Here is a 23338-nt window from a genome sequence, read left to right as displayed (position 1 = left end):
TTTATAAACAGCATATACTTAGGCTACACTAAATTTATTAAAATTTTTTCCTTCAGTAATAAATTAAGGTTAGCTTACTATAACTTTTTAATTTCATCAGCTTTTAAATTTTCTTAACTTTTGACTCCTTTGTAGTAATAGCTCAAAACACAAACACATTGTACAGCTGTACAAAAATATTTTCTTTCCATATTCGGTAGGATTTTTTTCTATTTTTTTTACATTTTAAACTTTTTTGTTAAAAACCAAGACATGGCTGGGCGTGGTGGCTCACACCTATAATCCCAGCACATTGGGAGGCCGAGGCAGGTGGATTGCTGGAGTCCAGGTGTTTAAGACCAGCCTGGACAACATGACGAAACCCCGCCTTTACAAAAAAATATGAAAAATAGCCAGGCATAGTGGCACACACCTATAGTCTCAGCTACTTGGGAGGCTGAGGTGGAAGGATTGCTTGAACCTGGGGAGCAGAGGTTGCAATGAGCTGAGATCGCACCACTGCACTCCAGCCTGGGCGATAGAGCGAGACCCTGTCTCAAAACCAAACAAAACCAAACAAAACCAAAATGAAGATACAAACTCACACATTAGCCTAGGCCTGAGCAGGGTCAGGATCATCTATATCCACTGGTCCCATAAGATTATAATGGAGTTGGGGCCCGGCGCAGTGGCTCATGCCTGTAATGCCAGCACTTTGGGAGGCCAAGGCAGGCGGCTCACGAAGTCAGGAGATTGAGACCATCCTGGCTAACACGGTGAAACCCCGTCTCTACTAAAAAATACAAAAAAAATTAGCCAGGCGTGGTGGTGGGCGCCTGTAGTCCCAACTACTCAGGAAGCTGAGGCAGGAGAATGGCGTGAACCCGGGAGGTGGAGCTTGCAGTGAGCCCAGATCGTGCCACTGCACTCCAACCTGGGCGACAGAGCAAGACTCAGTTTCAAAAAAAAAAAAAAAAAGATTATAATGGAGTTGGAATGTTCCTATTGCCTAGTGATGTTGTTGACGTAGTAGCATCACTGTAGCACAGTTCATTACTCACATCACATATTTGTGGTGGTCTGTGGGGAGCTATTCCAGAAAAAAGCCTTGTTATCATAGGAGATGATAGCTCCTTCTGTGTTATTGCACCTGAAGACCTTCCAGTAGGACAGAATGTGGAGGTGGAAGACAGTGATAGATATATATGTAGTCCATTGTTGACCGAAACATTGCTATGTGGTGCATGAAAGGAAGTAAATCAGGGCCGGGCGCAGTGGCTCACGCCTGTAATCCCCGCACTTTGGGAAGCCGAGGCGGGTGGATCACGAGGTCAGGAGATCAAGACCATCCTGGCTAACACAGTGAAACCTCGTCTCTACTAAAAAATACAAAAAATTAGCGGGGCGTGGTGGCGGGCGCCTGTAGTCCCAGCTACTCGGGAGGCTGAGGCAGGAGAATGGCGTGAACCCGGGAGGCGGAGCTTGCGTGAGCGGAGATCGCGCCACTGCACTCCAGCCTGGGCGACAGAGCAAGACTCCGTCTAAAAAAAAAAAAGAAGTAACTCAGGCCCCACCCTAGACCTACTGAATCAGAATCTGCATTTTTATGATTCTCAATGATTCTCTTATGATTCTCATTTTATTTTTATTCCATGACTTTTAAAAAAAAAATCCCGTAACTTCTTTTTCATAACTTCTTTTGTAACTTTTCATAATACTGTTTTCTACTTTTTTCCCACAAGTTTTTTTGCCACAACGTTTTTACATTTTTTATCCCATAACTTTTTCACCCCATAACTTCTTTTAATCCCATAACTTTTTAAATCTTGTGTTAAGAAACACTTGCATAGTTATATTACACCTTTGTAAAAATGAAACACATTATCTCATGCCAAGCATGCCCAGCATTTGCACAGTATCAATACCTTTAATACTATAGTTTTCAAGAAACGCAAAATAAAATTTTAAGGCAAAAACAACACATTGAAACAATTTAATAATTTATTACATTACAGTGGCATCACACCAGCAGTCAATAAGGCCACTCTAGGGAAAAATCTTTCAGTATTTCCATGACACATTCTGTTTACAATAATTCATAAACTGGTAAAATTCATTCTAAGAAAACTTGGCAAATAAAACTTTGGACTGGAATTGGCATTTCTTTCTCTGCTTTTCGTTCCCACCATTTCTTTCTTTTATACTACAGTATTCATATTTTAAAATGTTTTAAATTATTTCAGAACATTAAGATAGCAGTTACATTTTTTAATAGTTATATTATTTTAAAATGACTAAGATAAAGTTTTAGAGAAACTATATTATGGATAGGGCTGATTTACATTTTCAAATTTTCTGAAATCAGCTTTGGTTTTAGAGCTGATTTTTTTTTTTTCATTTCTGGAAAATTAGGTTGAATCAAATACTTTTAAAATGATTATTATATATTGCCATCTTTAAATAGGTGTTTTGATTCTTCCTACAGACATTAAAATGTATTCAGTGGAACTCACAGTTTAAAATTCTATGTTTCTCATGAACTCTAACATTCCAATGTTGCCTTCTAAGCAAACTGAAAGCTTCCTTATACTGAATGAGGAAGAGTACAAATACTCGGCTGAATGAGGTATCGCAAAAGACTGCATGCACTTTGGAGAAAGACTTAAGTTATTGTCATACAATTTCCATTCTTTTTAGTGTTTTCTTAAATATATGACAAATACCTACACAAAGAGTGGTATTTCAGTCAATATAGTAAATTTATTTTCCAGACTGACCTTCAGCTTAAATATGCCAGTGTGTGATTTAATCCATAGGCACCTCATGAACACATTATTGTCAGATTGGTTACAGATGCTAAACGCTATCCGAAGGTCATTCCTAGTCACTGATATTTATCAGGGTAAAAGTGAAGTGATTTCAACGATAAAAGTACCTTTGAAATAATTTATCAATGTATTAGATAAACCCAGTTTCAGAATGATAAAAGAAAAAACGTTAGACCAAATAATGTGGCTGATTAACAGTGGTCCGATTTCTAGCCCGAGGGTTTAAAATGCTCTTAAAGTAACTGTCTTTAAACTGAACTCAAAGAATGCAAAAGCGGCAAGTTCAGAAAATAAAAGGCGAGAACAGGACTTTAAGTGCATTTTAAACCCACGGGCTAGAAATCGTACCACTGTTAATTAGCCGCATTATTTGGTCTAAGATTTTTTCTTTATCATTCTGAAACTGGGTTTATCTAATACATTGATACATTCATAAAATTTGGAAGAGTCAGTGGAAGTCACAAGGACCGAATATTTGCACTCTTTCAGTGAATGCCAGCAAATCTGTTATTCCATCGGTAAAATCGTATTGTTGCTCTCCTGTTAATGTCATATTTATAGAAGTATCATGAGGATGCCAAATGCTAAAAATGGAGATGATCTAGTAACTAGAAATCCCCACCGCAGGGAGCACACACACCTATCTCCCTGCATCCTAACAATGTGATGTGTTTTGGAACACAGACATTAGAACTTCATGAAGTTTTAACTGTTGAGTCTTTCCCAAGCATCATCAAGTTACGATTTAGGCAATACATAACTGAAATGCATTCATTCATCATGCATAGGCACAATCACATAAATATCGCACAAAATATGTCCCGAACAGAAACCCAGAGGTACAAAAACATATTTCACTTTGTAAAGAAGTTTGTGAGAAAATATAACTCTGTGGTTGTATAGACACGTTTCCTGATAATACATTGACATTCACGAACAACAGTAGATTGCACTGCAGTTTGTACACATTTTAAGTTTCATAAACTTCTCCTTGATTTTCAAAGATAGTATAATACCATCTACTAAAACTCCTTTTTGTTTCAACTATCTCACATATATTAGTTTATAAGAATGTTTCTATTTTTTTTAAAGTGTTTTCCATTCAAAGAAAAAGAAGTAAATTCCTATATCAGAGTAACCAAGGTGGTTGAAGAATAGGTATTAGCCAAAGAGGTCTAGATGGTAAAATCAATCTTCAAGCCTCAAAGAATCTCCGTGAACAGAGAGGAATGCCAGGAGTCACACAGCTTTCCTTCACTCTAATTCATTCTTGACTAGAGCCTGTATGCCTGTTCCAGGGACATTTGAACTCGTAAAGGATTTCTTATGATCTTCACTAAATACATTAAGAAGAATGCCAACCAGTGCCCTTTTGTGTACTGGGGCATGTAGTCATGTGATTAAAACAGGTAACATGAACTCTGACTTTAAAATGTATTGTAGATACAAATGCTCTAAGCTAGGAAAGGTTTTCCACATCCACAGTCAACGATGGGAACCTTTCATTCCTCAGAAATAAGCCCTTTTTAGGTCATCGAAAAAGAGTGCAACTGCTGCAGCTCATGATGCAATATCTTCATGAGCCCAGAGCACATACAAATCCTAAGGGCACCACCATAATACACCGCTAATTCCTGGCACCGGAAGAGATGAAACACACTCTATCCTGCACATACCTGCCAGAGGAGGCCACTTTCCTCTTCTGTGAGATTTAAAAAGCTCCCCCAAAAGGTTATCACTCCCATCACCAATACACAGAAAATGGAGGAAAGGCTGTTTCCAATTCTTGGCCTTTAAACAACTCTAAATGTCAGTACTCATAGTGGCGTATTACAAAGTAATAAACAGTGCACACTTGGGGGCAAACTACATATTGAGCTAAGGAAGAGCTCACTGTGATTAAGATTAGATCAAACAACAGCAGAACATAGGCAAATTTTGTCTGAATGCTGTAGTGAATATACATGCTGCAATAACATTAAAAAAGCATGGCAGCCTATTCCAAACCAAAGAGAACAGTTTTGGGCAAAGAGTGGGTCTTTGTGTGTTTGAACTCCCACCACGTAAGGGCAAACTCGATATGCATGCTAATGACCTACAATTATGAAATTAAAAAAGAAAAATGCTAAAGGATGCCAGAGTGAACATCAGTGAGAGCCACAGACACACACTCTCTTTTAACTTTTTACAAATAAACTTAAACTATAAATTAGAAACACAAATAATCATGAGTGAGTCTAACATTCAAAGGAAGTAAATGAATTGTGTAGGAGATTAACCCCATAACTTGGTTTCTTATTTAAAAATTTCTTGAGCAGCTGTTTGATGATGGTGATGTTTATCTCCTTCTTCTTGGCAGCCAAGCCCAACAAAATAATGGCACACAGCAGTTGCTGCCCAAGCCTGGGTGCTCCTGGTGGTCCTGCACGATCGGCTGTGCAGTAGGCTTGTCAAGGAGAGGATCCTCCCTGGCCTCTCCTTGGGCAGAGGAGGTGAGGGTCACCTCACGAAGATCTTTGGAGAGAGGGAGGCGGGGATCTGAGCACAGTGGGAGCCCCCCTCTTCCTGCCTACCCACCCCACCTGAGGGCTCTACTCACCACCATGCTTGTCTGCAGCCCCAAGCTCCTGGGGGGCTGGGGCTCCTGGACCGGGCTCATCAGCAGAGTTGTGGGCAGCGGCCAGGAATTTTCTGTGCCCATTGTTGTAGTTGCTGTAAGCCGCAATACCATCTGCTGCAGCTCCAGCAGCTTCACCTGGAGGGAGGGGTGCTCAGCTGCCATGCCGCTGCCTGCGCCCACCCTCACACCCACCCCCACCCCCACCCCCACAGAGATGTTGCACACCCTACCTTCATCTCCTCCCTGAGCTCCAGCCTGATGGTGTCCTCCTCCCAGTGCTGCATCTTTGGCACGGCCCCCTGGTTCTGATAAAAGGTGATGGATTTTCCTGCGGGAGGACAGGGCTCAGATTCTGGGGCCCCTCTGATGGCCCTGTAGCTCCCCCTGCCGTGCCCTGGCCTCCCACTCACTGATGGCATCTCTCTTGCCAGTATTGAATGAAGCGAAGTTCTTGTTTTTTCACCAGCTCACTCAGGTCTGCCTTCTCCTTCAGGTGGTCCATAAAGCTGCTCTGGAGCCAAAATATTGCAGTCACATCTCGGCAGCGACCTGCCCTCAGGTGGCATTTTCAAGTCATGGAGAAGGCGGAGGTGAGTCCTGGCATGGGCCAGCTTCTCCGTGACTTCCTGCAGGGCCCAGTGGGTCTCCCCACTCACAGACTCGCCCCCAGGCCCTGGGGCTCCAGGGCCTCTGGCCGCCTCTGGCTCCTTCTGGGCCGAGGCCACCGGGTGAGCCAGGCGCTGGCAGCACACCCTCTGCTCTTTCACCTGCTCTTGTAACTGTGCCTGCTTCTCCTGGGCACTAGCTCCAGCGGACTTGAAAAATGCCACCTGAGGGCAAGATGTGAGCATTCTTCTAGGGGCATACACAGAAGAAATGGGGCAGAGAGGTGGAGCGCAGCCCCTTCCCTTGGGGCCTCAGAGAGTGCACCTGTTGGCCACAGGTGAAATGGTGTCTGACCACTGGCTCTCGGAAGGGGTGAGGGTCCAGAGAAATCAGAAGGCAGGGAAACGAAGAGCATAAAGGGGTCTTGGAGGGACCACAGAGAAAGGTGGCAAAATGGGTGCAGGGGGAGTCAGGCTCACCATGGCCTCCCTGCTCTCCAGGTCCTCTGGGACACTCGGCATGGGCTGAGGTGCCTCCTCCCCCTCACTGTCCAGATGTTCTCCTCCGTGTCCTGTGGGGGGTGGCCAGAGGGGTCTTCAGACAACCCAACAAGGGAGGTACTGTGGGCCCACCTCTACCTCCACCCTCACTGTGTAACCCTGAGCCAGCCCCTCCCCAGAGAGGAATGAGCTGTTGTTCTTTATTTTTACTTTTAAGAATCAAGATCTTGCTATTCCGCCCAGGCACACTCCCACTACTGGTCGATGTGGGAGTTCTGACCTGCTCCCTTTCTGACCTTGGCCAGTTCAGCCACCCTTAGGCAACTTGGTGACCGCCCGCTCACAGGAGGTCACCACACTGATGCCGAACTTAGTGCAGGCACCCGGTCGGCATAATGACCAGCTGCTCTAAAGGTCTCTTCCAACTCCTCAATCCTATGCTGCTAGCAGTCCCCCCTTCCTCCTGGGGCTCTCTCCTCTTCCTCTGAGCGGTCTCCCGTACCTTCCCCAGGGAGAGCCATGAGGCTCAGCTGGGCCGTTAGCTGCTGGTTCTGCTGGCTGGCCGCTTCCAGGTGCTCCTAAGGGGCCAGGAAAGAGTGAGAAGGGATGGAGTTTGCCAGGTCGTCCCCCTCACAGCCCCATCCTCGGCAGCTCCCTCCCCTGGGTCTCCTGCAACTTTTGGCAGGCCATCTCGGCCACTGCTTTGCCCCAAGCTTCCTACTGCTGCAGCTGGTTCATTAGCTGGGTCTGTTGCAGTCACTGCCTGTACAGCGCCTCCTTCTCACAGGTCAGCTGCTGATAGGCGGCCACCTGCTGCTGATAGGTGGCCACGTACTGCTGCAGGTGACCCAGGTAATGGTCTGGCTGCTGCTGCAGACTCTGAGCCTCTTGGCTCTTCAGCTCCACCTGCAGGAAGACCCTGGGTGTGAGGGCACGTGGTGGCTGGTTTCCAGATTCTGGGCCCATTAATAGGGTAGCGAGGGCACTGTGGGGCTCTGTCAGCTACCCAGGCCCCTGTCCCCTTACTCCAGGCCTAAGTGACTGCCTCCCTTTCCTAGAACCCCATGCCTCCTTCCCCAGCCTCAAATCTCATACCCTCTTCTCATTTAATCCTCAGCACCTCTGTAAGGAAAATGCTAACTTCCCTTTGAAGTTAAAGAAACAGAGACTTAGAGATGCAAAGTACTTGAATGGTGACCAGTGGAACCGAGGCTGGAATCCAGTTTCAATCTAAGGAGTCTTTTTGTTTTGTTTTCAGACAAGAGTGTCACTCTGTGGCCCAGGCTGGAGTGCAGTGGTGCAATCTCAGCTCACTGCAACCTCCACCTCCTGGGTTGAAGCAATTCTCGTGCCTCAGCCTCCCGAGTAGGTGGAATTACAGGCATGCGCCACAATGCCCTGCTAATTTTTTTTTTTTTTAATTTTAGTAGAGATGAGGTTTTACCACATTGGCCAGGTTGATCTCAAACTCCCGACCTCAAGTGATTCTTCTGCCTCAGCCTCCCAAAGTGCTGGGATTATAGGCATGAGCCACTGCACCTGGTATAAGGAGCCTGTTATAGCACTGTCTCTTCCCCTGTGATTGGGGGCTCCATGCCTCTAGCTGGGATGATGATGTCCAGACCTGAGAGGAGCCCAGGGCTACCCACCTTTAAAAGTCAGAGGCAGGAAGCGAGAAACAGTCGCAGGACTGCCCTGCGGGGTGCTGTGGTCACCAGCCCCCAGGCTGGAAGCTGCCTCTGACCTGGCACCTCCCCTCCCAAGAGGCTGCTGCCCGCCTCCCAGCCCTTCTTGGATGGGGTGGAGGTTTCCGTCTCCTTCACCTCGCCAAGCTTCTCCTGTAGCTCCTTTACTTGCTGCTCCAACTGCAGTGTGCTCTTGTTCTCATTGTTCTGGACAGAGAGAAGCAATCAGCAGCCACCCACTGCAGCTGGAGACCCCAGAACTTGGTGTCTGCCTCCCATGGCACTGGGAAGGCTGGAGGCAGGTTAGAAAAATCACCCCCTCTCTCCCACAGCCACCTGGCTCACAGGTGCCTTTAGAAGTAACCTTTCACGCGAGGGCTACACTGCCCCATTTTAGAGGTGGGGAAACAAAGGCCCGGAGGGCTAGGGAGGAGGGCAGGCTCCCCAGTTGGGGCAACGCACCAGCTCCTCGAAGACGCTCTGTGGCTTGGCCAGCTGCCGAAGCTTCTCGTGCTGCTCCTGAAGCCTCTCCTCCTGCTTCCGAAGCCTCTCTTCCTGTTCCCGAATCCTCTCTTCTTGTCGCCGGTTCAGGAGACTTATGTGCTGATTGTTTTTGACCTGGGACTGGAGCTCTCCTGCCACTCTCTCTAGTTCCTTCCTCAGGTGCTGCAGCTCCACCTCAGAGGGCACTGCTGGGGGCTCCGGGGGCAAGGGTTCAGCTGACAAAGGAAGCAGATAATAAGGGCCTCTGGATTCTCGGAAAAGAAAAACCCTCCTCTTGGCGCACAGCTCCTCTCAGGCTCCTCAAACTTGGCCTCACTGCTAATGATTCCTCGCACCCAGATGGTAGCCAGTCTTCCAAAGGACTTTCAGAGAAAGAGCACTGTGGGTGGCTGGCAACGGGCCCTCTTTGCTGATGGGGACACTGAGACACTGAGACTCATTGAGATGACAAGACTCGCCGTCTCCTGGCACAGATCTCTTTCCCTCTGCCTCAAAGCCCTTCCATCCACCCACCTCCCTGGGGCACTCTAAGCCACCCTCACAGCCCTCTGATGCCAGTCCTGCTCCCAGGTCATGCCAGCCCCATCTTACCCATCTGGTTTTTGAGTTTGGACAAGCTCCTCTCCAGCTCCTCTACCCGACGCATATCTTGCTGCTTCTCTTTCTTTAATGTGCAAATCTGCCCAAAGCACAAGGGGAAAGGGCCTTGGAGAGAGGGGCTGGAGGCTGGACAGGCTGCCCTCTCCCTCTCTGCCCCCACCTCCACAAAGCCCAGACCCATGACCACCTCTGGCTCTACTATTCCCATTTTACAGATGCCCAGAAAGATCCAGTGACCTATCTAATGTGGGGGGGCTGAAGGGTCAGATCTCACCTCCTGCGACATTTTACTCATCCTCTGATGCCACCGGGCCCTCTCTCCTTCTATATGTTCAGCACACTCATCTCTTTCTAATTGGAGTTGTTGAAATGACTCCTTCAACTGCAAGAATGGGCACAGAAGTTAGGAAGGGCTGTCACTGGTCCTCACCTGCTCCTGGCCACCTGGGGTCATCGTCCTTCCACATCCCTCCCTCGGAAAACCTCACCTGTGTCAGCTGCGCTTTCAGCAGTGCCTGGTCCTGTAGGGACTGCTCTAACTCCCACTCTGTATGTGCTTTGCTGCAGCTGGACAACTGGATGGTGAAGAGTGAGAAGTTTCAATCTGGAGAGCCTGGGCATTTCCACACAGTGCCCCTTAACAGGGCTAGGGCTAGGCCCAATATACAACTCGGTCAGTAAAGATCAAGGCATTTCCAAGCCCGTGGTCTGGTTTTTAAAAGAACACAGTAAAGTTGGAACGGACAGGGAATGAGACTGAGTTTATAGCTGGCTAACAGAGGCCCAGAGAGATCAGATAATATTGCTGTTGTTATTATTGTCATTATTACCACTGTTTGAACCTTTGTGGAATGCTTCACCAGGTACCGTGCTAACAATCCCATTTAATCCTCGCAACCACCATAGGAGACAGTTACTATGATTCCCTCTATTGTGGAGATGAAAAAACATGGAGTATTTGAGGTTAAGTGCTTGCCTAAGTTCACTTAGGCAGAGCTGGGATATAAACACCCAGGTCTATCCAATTCTCTAAGCCCGTTTTTCTTGCTGGGGATGGGGGCACAGATAGGAAGGGGAAAATTAATCTTTTGTTCACTTTTTGAAAGGATGATAACATTTGCATAGTCCAAAACTCAGAAGGTACAGAAGGGAAGTATCTCCCGGCCATCTTGTTGCTCTCTCCTGAATTTTTTATGAACCCTTGCAGACATGTTTTATGTATATTATCACAGTATGCACACACACACACACACAACGCACACACGTTTCCTCTTTCTACAGAAATGGTAACATACTAAAGGTACTCTTCTGTACCTTCACAGTACAAGTACCCAATACCCCACCTAGGACTAGGACTTGCCCAAGACCACAGCCAGGTAAGGGCGGGGCAGGCACTTGGCCTCCAAGCTCTGCGTCCAGTGCTCACTCCCCACAGTACCCCCCAACTCACCCACAGCAGCTGACTCGGCCCCAGGCTGCCACTAAAAACCATACAAAAAAGTAGCAAGAAATGGCCATGCTGCCTTCTGGGCAGGACACGCCATCCTGCAGAAGGGACCTTTAGGCTCACTCCTCCATCTGCAAAACCAGGCTCCCAGGGGATGGGGCAGGTGGCTGGACTCACCTGGTTTGCCTTCTTCTTCTCTGTGGCGATGACAGCAGACAGAGCGCTCTCTAACTCTCCTTTACACTGCAATGAATGTTGCAGACGGACAGCCAGGTCCTTGGACTCTTCTGTAATGAGAGAGTTGAGATGGGGCCCAAAGGACTCCCCCTGAAGACCTGTCAAAGTGCCAGGTTGAAGGATGACAGGGTGCCCAGATTCCCACCTTCAAAGTATCTGAGAGAACGTTCCATGTGGTACAGGTCCGTATTTAGTTCCTCTTTCTGTATGATCAATGTCTGGATTTGAACCTTTGGGAGAAAAGCCAAGCAAGTGCTGAAAGAGAAGGAAAGAAACATTCTCCGGAGGACAGGAGGAAACTGCACACCCTCCACTCACCTCTAGCTCCCTTTCGGCTTTCTGTCTCTCGTTGTTTGCTTTCTTTTCCTGTAGGAAGAGGAAGACAGAGCTCTTACCAGGGGGAGGCAGAGATGGCACAGCAAGAGACATGCCCCCAGAATGCCACCAATGCCCCAGGACAGGCCCACCCATGGGACCAGGTTATCAGGGGCCCTGTGGGGATGGGGTGGAATCTGAGGGGTCAGCCTTCTTCCCCAGGCTGGGAGTGGGTGAGACGAGACTGGGGCCTCTATGTCTGAGTGCCCCCCAAACCCAGCAGTCATGTCGCGAGGAAACGAAATCACGTTACTTCTTCCAGCTGATGTTCCACTTGTTTCTTCTGTTGTTTCTGTGGGGAGAGTCAAATAAGGTGATGGAGGGTGGCCCCCTCAACTCTATTCCCCAGACCAGGAAGCGGTAGGCAGGGGCCAGGAATGGATTTTAAAGGCAAAGTTCTCAGACATAATGGGAACACGAACCGGTAAACTCTCCTCAAGCTCCCAAGGACAGAGGATTTGGGTCTTTGTTGGCTTTTGCCCACAGCCACAGAACTCAGTCTGAATCTGGAATCTCTTGAGAGGACAGCAACATAAACCTCTAGAGATGGAGTTTCAGAAAGGCCCCTCCTTCTGGCAGCTTGTGATTTAGAAAAGTGGGTTCATTCAATAAACACTTACTGAGCACCTATGGGCCAGGTACGGTTCTTCACAGCAGATATAGGATGGAAAAGGACAGACAGGAGCCCTTAGCCCTGAGGTTTCCATTCCCGGGGGCCTTTAAATCTCAGACTCGAGAGCTAACAGAGACCTTTGATACTCACTACCTCCTCTGGAAACACGAGCCCAAAAAGGAGAGGTGGCTTGTCCAGAATCAAAGAGCAAATTAGGGACTGAGTCATGGCAGAAATACGGGGCCCTTGACAACCAGTCAGGCTAGCACTTCCCCAAGAGGCAACAACCCCAGGGCGTGTGTAGCAAGGACTCGAGCAGGGGTGTCTGGAGAGGAGAGAGTCGGCAAAGAGGGCAGCAAAAGAAGAGCCATGCTGCATGCTCTGGGGTCCCTCCAGGTGAGGCCTGGGCACCCAAGCTCCCTATTTGTCCCGGGCACCAGGGACCCCCAGCCCCTTTCTTCAGGGCCCCAAGGGGAAACTGGAGCCCAGGATTGGCAGCGTGGAATCAGGGGACCCCACCGGACTCTTACCAAAGATTTGATGGTGTTCTTCAGTCGACTGATTTTTACGGACGTTGAATCCAGGACTACTGCTCGTTCTTGGCACGGGCTCTGAGGTGCATGCAGAGAGGAGGAGGTGGAGCAGGAGTGGGGAGAGAGGTAGAGAGAACGATCGTTAGGGCTGGGGTGTGTGGGCTGTCTCAGCTGGCAGAGGGGCACCCAGTCCCACCTGGAGGAGGAGGTTGGAGGGTTGACCCGAAGGGTCACTGCACCTCCACCCAGAGCCTCTTACCTCCAGATCTTTCAGGGTAGCAGATGATGTAGGGCCTTCCCTGTGGAAACCTGTTGCTGACTACAAGAGATGAGAGTGCACATGGAGATGTTCTGTCCCCCACAGTGTCTGAGCCCTCTGACTTCCTTTCTTCCCCATCAACTGCAACATTTTCTTTTCTGCCTATCTTGGACCTTTTGTCCCATAACTCCTTTGTGCCAACTTCTCTCATGGTTCTTATCTCCCCACCATCCCATCCTGGGGCCCCTTCAGTGACTCCTGATGGCAAGTGGCTGTTCTCTTTGTCCTGGTTTCCCCTTGAGACTGGGGATGAGGAAAATCAAACCATATCCTGGGTGTCCTGAGTGTTTACAGCAGGCCATGTACTAGGGATTAACATAAAAACAACAATAACAAATCTCATTTAAACTTCACAAATGGAAGTGAAACAATAACACCTCTATTATACAGATGTGAAAAGAGAGGCCCAATGAGGTCAAGCAACTTGCCCTAAATCATATCCCTAGCAGAGCAGATGGAGAGGCAGGATTCAAACCCAGAATTCCTTTTTTTTTTTTTTTGAGACAGAGTCTTGCTCTGTCACCAGGCTGGAGTGCGGTGGCATAATCTTGGCCACTGCAAGCTCCACCTCCCAGGTTCACACCATTCTCTTGCCTCAGCCTTCTGAGTAGCTGGGACTACAGGCACACGCCACCACGCGTGGCTAATGTTTTTGTATTTTTAGTAGAGACAGGGTTTCACCGTGTTAACCAGGATGGTCTCGATCTCCTGACCTCATGATCCGCCTGTCTTGGCCTCCCAATGTGCTAGGATTACAGGCGTGGGCCACCACACCCGGCTAAAGCCAGAATTCTTAACCAGTACCCAGCAGTCCATCCACAATCTTAAGAATTACCCTCTATTGCCCCTTGGGCCCCCTGTCCCCAGAAGCCTGGTCAGCCAAGACTCACATCCCCAGGTGGCTGGCAACCACCGGAAGTGGCTGTCTCAGGGATACTGCCATTTGTTTTCCTGTTCCTGTTCACTCCTGCTGGAACTCTAGGTCTGTTTTTCTGCCAATATTCTTTTAACTGTTGGAAAGAAGAGCAGTAATATTCATGAGAACCGTCAGCCCCTACAGCCACAACCTCCTTTACAGTTTTTACAAAATACACTTACACACCGTCTGATTTAATGACACCAACAACTGTACAAGGTGTTGTCACACTCATTTAGTGACTGAGAAGGATTGATATCATGGCTAGAAAAAAAAAAGAAAAAGGCAATACTGGAACTTTGAGACTCAGTCTTCTGACTCCAAGCTCTGAGGTTTTGCCAAGAATCAGCAGCTGCCAGGGACCAAAACCAGAGGCAGAGGTAGAAAAGTAAACATTAAGTAGGCAGGAACTGTATGCCATGTGGTTTAGTCATACATCCTCACACGTCTGTTAGTGTGAAGAAGTGCACCAGTACCTCTCAAACTTTTATATCAATGTGTCCTCATGGCAGAAGGCAGCCTTTCTCTTAAATCAGAATTTATCAGAAAGAGGACAACCCAAGCCTCATTTCAGAGAGAGGTCTGGTATACTCTTAGAAACCTATGTGACTGTCATCCCTAAGTACATTCATGTTTTTTCTCTTGATCTCAAGAGAATCAAGGGAAACTGATGCTTCAGAAAGATGTCCCACATTTATCCTGTGGCACTCAAAGTACCCAAGGTTGAGATAATATGAGGAAGATTCAAGGTGTCAAGTTCAGTTTCCCAAGATCTATTCCACAGAAGATGAGCAAATCTCACTTCAGAGACCACTGACTGAAGGAGAGTCTGGTCCCAGAACCATGGAGAATTAGAATATGAGGTGGAGAACTCAGAAAAAAATGTTAAAATCTCTCTGGAAAGTAGAAGCCTGGGAGAAAACCAAATCAAACCCATTCTCTCATTGCCACCCAGAGATACTGTCATTGTTTTGAGTTCATGGGGGAAGTGTAGGCTTTTCCCACCGTCAACATCTGTAAGGGAGTGAGGCAGCCTGGAACCTCTTGCTCCTAGGTCCCATAGTCTCCATTCCCCTTCCAGCTGGAAATTTGTGCTGTGACCAGAGGAACCAGAAACGGGGTGAGAACGCTTAGGGGACTGGGTCGTAAGGTCAAAGGCCAGTCTTGCAGTAACGGCAGTTACTAGGTGGACTGTGACATCACAACATTCCACTCCTCCTGGTCGGGGGGAGGGACCATGTCAGCACCATGTCCAAGTCGCTGCTCCACGATGGGGGAGGGAAGCACAGGGTTGGGACCCAGCTCCTTGGAGACGCCAGCACAAAGAACCCAGGGAGGTCGACCTTGAGGCAGCAGGAGGGGAGGGCACAGTCTGCAGCAGGGAGTCCCAGGAGTCACCAGCCCAAAGTCACCCAAGGATGACTGGCGAGGGTGGGGCCTGGCTCCTTGGAGATGAGAGCCCAAAGAGCCCACGGAGATCAAGCTTGGGGCGGCAGGAGATGACGGCCCAGTAATGGAGCGGGAAGCCCCAGGAGTCACCCACCCAAAGTCACCCTGGGGTGATTGGCGAGGGCAAGGACTGGGCTGCTTTCTGAAGGGGTGGGGCTGACTGACAAAACTTTGGTGGGGGTAGCCCAAGGCACCGGGGTTGGGGGGACCAGTCCAGTGTGCCTCAGGAGTCGTATAGACTCTGGCAGGGGTCTTGTCATCAGAGGGGATCTGTGGCTGGGTTGAGGGGCTATGACCTAGTGCGTTTTTACCTTTTTCTTGGCTGCAGCCAATTTGTTGTGTTGAGTTTCTTCTGCCATCGCAGGGTGGGGAGGGAGGAAGGGTTGGGGCCACAGCAGCAAAATCCCAATAAGAACCGATCAAGGCCTCCAGTCACCTACCAGGCAGCTGTGTGACTGAGCCAGAGGAGGCGTAACCAGGGCCCCAGTAGAATGCGGAATAGGGGCGTGGCCTTAATGCTCCAAGCCCATTGGTCAATGAGAAAGATGAAAGGGAAAGGGCGTGGCCAGACAGCAGCGTGTCCAGAGGGCCCTGTGGCTCACAAGGAAAGCTGCCCATGGCAACCGCTCTCCCCACCCACTCTAAGAGAGGGGAGAGGCCTCCCACTCTGGAAGAGAAGAGGGGCTGGCTTTTGCTTTAAAAGCTTTAAAACTTTAAAAAATATATGTGTGTATACTTTATATATATATGTGTGTCCGTGTGTGTATCTATGTTTTTCTCCATAGCTGTCTTCATTATCCAGCTTCTATGCAAGGTCTATGATTTTGGCCTATATTTTTCATCTTTGATTACAGTACAAAAATTACCAGTATTACCTTAACTGAGATACAGATCCTATAAAAATGGAAAATGCATAGCATGCTTGATGATTAATGAAGCAGACTATATTATCCAACATTCTAATAAGATAAAATAATCACAATGATTTCTCTTTTTTGGAAAAATGTTTCTCTTATTCTCCTACGTTTTCGTTAAGATTTTTTTTCTTAAACAAGAAACATGTCTAATATCTGTAAAAGCACAAAGCTTTTGGGCTGGGTGCAGTGGCTCATGCCTGTAATTCCAGGACTTTGAGAGCCCAAGGTGGGTGGATCATGAGGTCAGGAGATCGAGACCATCCTGGCTAACACGGTGAAACCCCATCTCTACTAAAAATACAAAAAAGGCTGGATGTGGTGGCAGGCAGCTGTAGTCTCAGCTACTTGGGAGGCTGAGGCAGGAGAATGACATGAACCCCCGAGGTGGAGCTTGCAGTGAGCCAAGATCATGCCACTGCACTCCAGCCTGGGCTACAGAGCAAGACTCCATCTCAATTAATTAATTAATTAATTAAAATAAAAAATTAATAGTAAGAGCAATGTGAACAAAAGATGCAATAAAATAATTTAGAAAATACAAACTATTAAAAAATAGATTTTAAAACTTGTGCAACGAAGTCAAACAGCAGCCAACGAAAATGTATACCCTTACACGTTTGTTTAAAAAGCAATTTAAATTACATTGATCCACTAAACTAGGAAAAGCAAAACAAACAAAAAGGGGGAAATAATTAAGACCTAAGGAAAAAGGAAAAAGAAAAACCACTAGATTTAAAAAATAAAACTAAAGGAGGATTCTTTCAAAAGACTGAGATAATAAAACAGTCAAGCCTCTGATAAGTAATCAAGATAAAGAAAACTTTGAAGAGAAAAGGGCATATAGCCACATGTGAATATGATGCAAAAAGTGAAAACTTTACACATCTTTACAACACCTTAGAAGTATGGATGACATGTTCATTTTTTTTTTTTTTTTTTTTTGAGACGGAGTCTCGCTCTGTCACCCACGCTGGAGTGCAGTGGCGTGATCTTGGCTCACTGCAAGCTCCGCCTCCCGGGTTCACAACATTCTCCTGCCTCAACCTCCCGAGTAGCTGGGACTACAGGCGCCCGCCACCACGCCTGGCTAATTTTTTGTATTTTGGCTTAGTAGAGACAGGGTTTCACCATGTTAGCCAGGATGGTCTCGATCTCCTGACCTCGTGATCCACCCGCCTCGGCCTCCCAAAGTGCTGGGATTACAGGCATGAGCCATCGCACCCATCCAAAGTGTTCATTTTTTTTTAAGAACCTACAGTTACGAGAAGTAACTGAAGAAGTGGGAAATCTGGAGACCAATATGCAGAAGAAGGAAAAAGACAAAGACTCATCCTCCAAATTGGATATTTAAACCAGAATTTGTCATCCTCAGCAATATTGATATATTGGGCCAGATAATTCTTTGTGGAGGGTTCTCTTGGTGTGTTGTCGGGCATTTAGTAACATTCCCTCTACCCACAGAATGCCAATGAGACCTCCCGACCATGACCAGTTGTGACCACAAAAATGTCTCCAGATATTTCCAAACGTCCCATAGGAGGCAAAATACTCCTGCAGTTGAAAATTACTGTGTAAACCAGATCTACATCCTAGATCTTAGAAAAAAGATGTAAAGCTTCCCAACTCAGCCCTGCATACCCTTGATACTGAAATAACAGCCTTAAAGGAAACAAACAAAACTATAATCTTATTTAATACAGAAGTAAAAATGCAAAAATAAAATATTACCATAGCCATTCTAACAGTGTTTATTATAGGAATGCAAAGATAATTCAAAATTAGGAAAATTTCATCAGGCAATTCACAAATTATATTTCTACATATAATTGAAGGCACAATCATGAAAAACAAAGTAGCTCTATATGCATTAAGTCCATGATCTATTCAGTGAAAAACACAAGTTGCACATGTCTTACAGAAGGAAAACTTAACACTGAACACAGATTCTCACCATCTGCTCTTTGTCCTGAGGCTCCAATAGAAATACAGTGAAGAATAAACATTGTATAAGCACACCATTACAAAAAAGGAATGGGGTTACCAACAGAAGAGAATTCATCTTCATTAGACAATGACAGTACATGGAAAATGGTTAATTCATGGAGCAAAGCAACAAAGGTGGAGGTCAGGGGGATACTGAGAACAAGGAGGCTAATCTGTCCCACAGCAACCTGGAAAGGTTCTAGACTCAGACACGAGGTACCCCCGACAGTGGGACTGATAGGCAAGACTGAAAACAGAGATTAAGCAAAAGCCCGGATAGAGAACACATTTCACAGGCCCTGAAACACACTGCTGGCCCCATCTCCTTAAACAGAACCCAAGCAAACGTATCCACCTCAGGCAAGAGAATGTAGATTTTACATCCAGAGGAATGGAGTAGTCACCCAGCCATCATTTATGATTGCACCAGGAGATAAGATAGAGGGATGGAGGATAACAATTAGGAATCAGCATACATTCCCCTTAAAGCTATCAGTTGACAAGTCTTGGCCACAAAGAACTCCCAATCAATTTTTATTTATTTTTATTTTTATTTATTTATTTATTTATTTATTTTGAGACAGGGTCTTGCTCTTTCGCCCAGGTTGGAATGCAGGAATGCAGTGGCATGATCAGAGCTCACTGCAGCCTCAACCTCCTGGGCTCAAGCAATCCTCCTGCCTCAGCCTCCCAAGTAGCTGGGACTGCAGATGGGTGTCACCACACCTAGCTATTTTTTTTTTTTTGTAAAGATGGGGTCTCACTATGTTGCCCAAACTAGTCTTGAGCTCCTGGGCTCAAGTGATCCTCCCACTTCGGTCTCCCAAAGCACTGAGATTATAGGTGTGAGCCACCACACCTCGGCTCCCAGTCTTTTAGTACCTCTCTCAAATATGAATGAACAAATAAAGGAATGGAAAAAAGACTACAGGTCAGGCACGGTGGCTCATGTCTGTAATCCCGCACTTTGGGAGGCCGAGGTGGGTGGATCACCTGAGGTTGGGAGTTCCAGACCAGACTGACCAACATGGAGAAATCCCATCTCTACTAAAAATACACAAATTAGCTGGGTGTGGCAGCACATGCCTGTAATCCCAGCTACTTGGGAGGCTGAGGCAGGAGAACTGCTTGAACCTTGGAGGCAGAGGTTGTGGTGAGCCAAGATCACATCATTGTACTCCAGCCTAGGCAACAAGAGCGAAACTGGGTCTCAAAAAAAAAAAAAAAAAAAAAAGACTACAAATGATAAGCAACATAGAATAGATATTTAAGGAAAGGCTTTAAAAAGAAAAATAAGACCAAAATAAACTAAGAAAAAAATTATTAAAGAACAAGGAGATGCCAGGGAGAAGACAAAGAGTATCAAAATCACTTCATAAAGACACTTGTGAATATATTACATGTATAAAACAAAACAATATGAATAAGAAATAATCAGAGAAGAAAAAGTTCTTAGAACTCATGCTCCATCTTGGGAGTTGGTCTCCAATGAGCCATACCTCCTGTCATCATGTCCTCAGACAGGCCCATCCCATAGTCAATCTGGGTTGGCCCCAACACTCACTTTAACCTATAGCATGTGGTAGAAATGACACTGGACCTGTTCCAGGTCTAAGCCTTAAGAACTCCTGGCAGCTCCATTTCTGTGCTTCTGGAAGCCAAAAATAAGAATTGGCTACCTTCTTGGAGAAAGAAAAGCCACATGAAGAGATCCGAGAGGATGAGATGCTATGCAGAGAGAAAGGCCACATCAAGAATTACCAAGGCAGCAGACCTGTGGGTAAAGAAGCCGTCTCAGACATTCCACTGCAGCTGAGCATCCAGATGACCAGTCCCTGACACTGTTTAACCACACAGTGAGAGCTGCCAAATGAGACCAGCAGAAAAACTGTCCAGCTAGCCCCAGGTAATCCATACAGTCGTGACAGATAGACAGATGTGTAGTTTTAGGCCATTAAGTTTTGGGATAATTGGTTAAGCAACAATAAATAACCAAAACAAAACTTAAAGTTATGACAGTCCAAATAAAATTTCCTGAAAGTCGAAAGATAAGAAAATATTCCAGAACTGAAAATTTAAAAAACATTTAGAAATAACGTGAGATATAAGACTCAAGACAAGAGGTCTCAAATCCAATTAACAGACACTTCCAAATGAACAAATAAAATGGAAAAGAGAAAGTTAACAACAAAAATATGACAAGATTCAAGACTCCAACTTTGAAAGAGCCTATCCATAGGCCTGTTCATTTGGTGTACCCAGCATAATGAATGAAAAAAGACCCACACTAAGTACACTGTTGTGCTATTTCAGCTCACCAAGGAAAAGACAAACTCCTAAAAGCTTCCAGGGAGAAAGTCATGCATAAACAAGTGAAACTCAGGATGGCATGAGGCTTCGCCACCACGACTGGTTAGAAGACAACAGCACAGACTTTGAAATTCTAAGGTAAAATTATCCTCAACCTAGAAATACGTAATCAAGCAAACTATCAATCAAGTGTGAGGGTAGAATATGAGAGACGTGAATACTGATGGGGATGTGATATGCAGCAGGCACTGTTCTAAATGGTTTACATGTACCAACCCAATTAAGAAACTTAAAATACACACGTGCACACACACACACACACACACACACACACACACACACACACACAGTTTTTCCTGCTAATCATTTTACGATGAAACAGCCAAGTAGCTAACCCAGAGCCCACAAAGGCAGAGTAAAAATTCTAACACTTGGTAAAATAAAAATGCACATATACCCTGTGATCTAAAAAAAAAAAATGCTTAAATATTCAAAGACAGACAGCAATTACAGCTACTGAGAACATCACTGTAAGCAAACTGAGGCAGAGAAAACAAAGGTGCTAATGAGGATTTGAACCACCTAACATGCAGAAACCCACTGGATGCTTTCCTAGGTTCCGAGCTGGCATTGTCTTTCAGAATGATCTAGAAGAGGTCACATGACACTGTTACAAAGGATCTAGAGAAAGGGACCCTTGCTTTATCACTCCGGCTCTCCAGTCATGCTTCACATTTTCACTTCTTACACTCTTTCACATGAAGTCAATTTACAGACCTCCATCATGCCCTTAGAGACCTTTTTGTAATATTCTGACAAGTTCTGGATGTCATCTCTGCACTTTTGACAAATTCTTAGCAGTTAACGTACAAGGCAGTTAACATTTTTGTTCACGGTATAGCTAGAAAAGGGTCATATACTCAATAAAACAAATATTTACCAAGCATTCATTGAGTGGAAGATAAAACGCACAAAGCATAATTATAAAATATTCTCCCCTGCCATGATACAACAAAATTTTTAAAGGCTTACAGAATATAGCATAACATGACCAAAGCAAAAATAGTAAGGACTAAAGAGGGGAGGAAGGGAAAATATCAGCATGAACTGAATATGACCCAGAAGAGTCTTGATGGTCAGACATGTAAAGATGTATTGGGCAGGGTTAAGGGGTGGAAGTCAGGGGCACAGGTCAGGGGCACATTCTACAAGGGAAAAACAGCTGATACAGAAGCCTGAAAGGTAAAGTGGGCAGAGCACCTGTACAGGACTCTTACCTGCCACAGCGAGGGCACAATGCGCCTTTCCAGAACACAGCAGCGCGCAGCCAGGCCTGGGGCAGAGGGATCACTCAAACAGCACCAGAGGCTGCATTCCTACTTTTCTTCCGTCAACAAGTCCATTTTCGTTGTTAGTTTCTCCTTCAACACAAACTTAAAAACAAATGGCTGAACACGCAGGAACAAGGAAAACCTGACTGAAGAATGAGACGTTAAAACTTAAGGGCCTTGGGTCCTGGCACGGTGGCTCACGCCTGGAATCCCAGCACTTTGGGAGGCAGAGGTGGGTCATTTGAGGTCAGGAGTTCAAGACCAGCCTGGCCAACACGGTGAAACCCCGTCTCTACTAAAAACACAAAAGCTAGCCAGGCGTGGTGGCCGGCGCCTGTAATTTCAGCTACTCGGGAGGCTGAGGCAGGAGAATCACTTTAACCAGCGGACTGTCAAGAGAGGTAGGCTGCAGTGAACCGAGATAGCGCCACTGCACTCCAGCCTGGGCTACACAGTGAGACTCTGTCTCAAAAAAAAAAAAAAAGAAGTCATGGTCATGGTAAAAAACCTATGGCTTTGGAAGGCTTTCTCGGTAACGTCCTAGAATTAAGGTTAAGCCTGCGTTTCCTGTTAACTGAACAGGAAACCAGCCTGACCAACATCCTTCTGCCCGGTGGCTTGCTCTCAGCTCCTCTTCGTTGGGCCTTGGGCAGCCAGACTGTCTAGTTTTAATCCTTGCTCTGCCACCTGTGACCTTGGACAAGTTACCTACCTTCAGTTACCTCATCTACAAAATGCAGATATTAATAATAACCTCTTTTTAATTTATCCAGAGGATTAAAAGAGTTAATAAAAAGTAAAAAATAAAAAGACTTGGTAAGCATAGGCACAGAGGAAAAAAAAGTAAAAATAAATAATTAAATAAAAAGACCAGTGCCTAGCACATAAAAGTTCATCAGGAATTAATTCTATAATATGAACTCAATTTTGCAAAACTTCAAAGTACGTACAACTTTTAACTTACTAGGGTATACATACCAGTAATAAATTCACAACGGTAGACATGTTTGCCTACTGTAAATATAACAAAGACTAAACAAGCAGATACTAAATCATTAAGCAATTATCAGTTAGTATCTTTAATTTTCTTATACTTCTATATTTTCTATAGATCATCTTTGTAACAAGAAGAAAACCAACCAAATGAAAATGAAATGAATTCTCTCAAAAAGAATTAAGTCAAGACAGGAAGAAGGCTCGCAAAGTAATATAAAATATATCTTATGGTTTATGGAAAATTCTTAATAAAATACCTTCTTTGCTCCAAGCTGCACTCTGGCTTTGCCTTTGAGTCAGGTGGCATGTCTTTGCACGATGACTGGTTCTATTGAGTAGGCACTGCTTCAGCCCTACAGGAAGAACAAAACCTCTCTGGAACACAGCAGCATTCCTGATTCCCACTTGAGGAGGCCTAACAAAACGGCATATGCCTCAACAGCAGCAGATCAGTGTTAAAAAGTCTGGAGTCAAGGGGAAAAAGTAAAATTGGACCATTTCCAAAATCTCACAAAAAGCAACAAACTGACGTTCTAAGTGCCCAACATGAGCAAATTAGAACCTTAAATAAAGGTCACTCTTAATGCCTA

General features: G+C 45.8%; 1 protein-coding gene, 1 long non-coding RNA gene and 1 pseudogene across 2 annotated transcripts in view, besides 2 other annotated features; 1 reads left to right on the top strand and 2 right to left on the bottom strand.

Annotated features, from left to right (window-relative positions):
* Positions 1–14537: part of a non allelic homologous recombination region, noted in NCBI's record as "15q13 distal microdeletion recombination region, recombines with the 15q13 proximal microdeletion recombination region", that runs on past the window's edge. NCBI's record gives the evidence for it as "EXISTENCE:DNA microarray evidence [ECO:0005524][PMID:25326701]" and "EXISTENCE:nucleotide sequencing assay evidence [ECO:0000219][PMID:25326701]".
* Positions 1–23019, top strand: part of ARHGAP11A-DT (ARHGAP11A divergent transcript) — a 28642-nt gene extending 5623 nt beyond the window's left edge. The window contains exons 2-3 of the long non-coding RNA NR_135833.1: positions 5921–6017; positions 22864–23019. This is a non-coding gene — a long non-coding RNA (ARHGAP11A divergent transcript). The remainder of the gene's footprint in view (positions 1–5920; positions 6018–22863) is intronic.
* Positions 1887–15668, bottom strand: GOLGA8N (golgin A8 family member N). Its single transcript, NM_001282494.2, has 19 exons — positions 15523–15668; positions 13737–13856; positions 12787–12846; positions 12525–12605; positions 11635–11673; positions 11325–11372; positions 11152–11236; positions 10947–11056; positions 9811–9897; positions 9597–9704; positions 9314–9401; positions 8681–8937; positions 8357–8425; positions 7036–7111; positions 6513–6604; positions 5838–5938; positions 5658–5755; positions 5407–5562; positions 1887–5321 (listed from the first exon to the last, which is right to left on the bottom strand). The coding sequence occupies exons 1-19, from the start codon at positions 15568–15570 to the stop codon at positions 5146–5148; spliced, it is 1899 nt and encodes a 632-aa protein (NP_001269423.1). The 5' UTR covers positions 15571–15668; the 3' UTR covers positions 1887–5145.
* Positions 6713–7003, bottom strand: RN7SL286P (RNA, 7SL, cytoplasmic 286, pseudogene; annotated as a pseudogene).
* Positions 8295–8844: an enhancer, noted in NCBI's record as "H3K4me1 hESC enhancer chr15:32892481-32893030 (GRCh37/hg19 assembly coordinates)". NCBI's record gives its function as "activates a minimal SCP1, AML or CMV promoter by ChIP-STARR-seq in primed H9 embryonic stem cells {active_cell/tissue: H9 hESC(primed)}" and the evidence as "EXISTENCE:reporter gene assay evidence [ECO:0000049][PMID:30033119]".
* Positions 23020–23338: the final 319 nt, after the last annotated feature.

The sequence above is a fragment of the Homo sapiens genome, chromosome 15, assembly GCF_000001405.40.
Source record: "Homo sapiens chromosome 15, GRCh38.p14 Primary Assembly".
Classification (NCBI taxonomy): Eukaryota; Metazoa; Chordata; class Mammalia; order Primates; family Hominidae; genus Homo; species Homo sapiens.
This window is presented reverse-complemented; position numbering and strand designations above follow the sequence as displayed.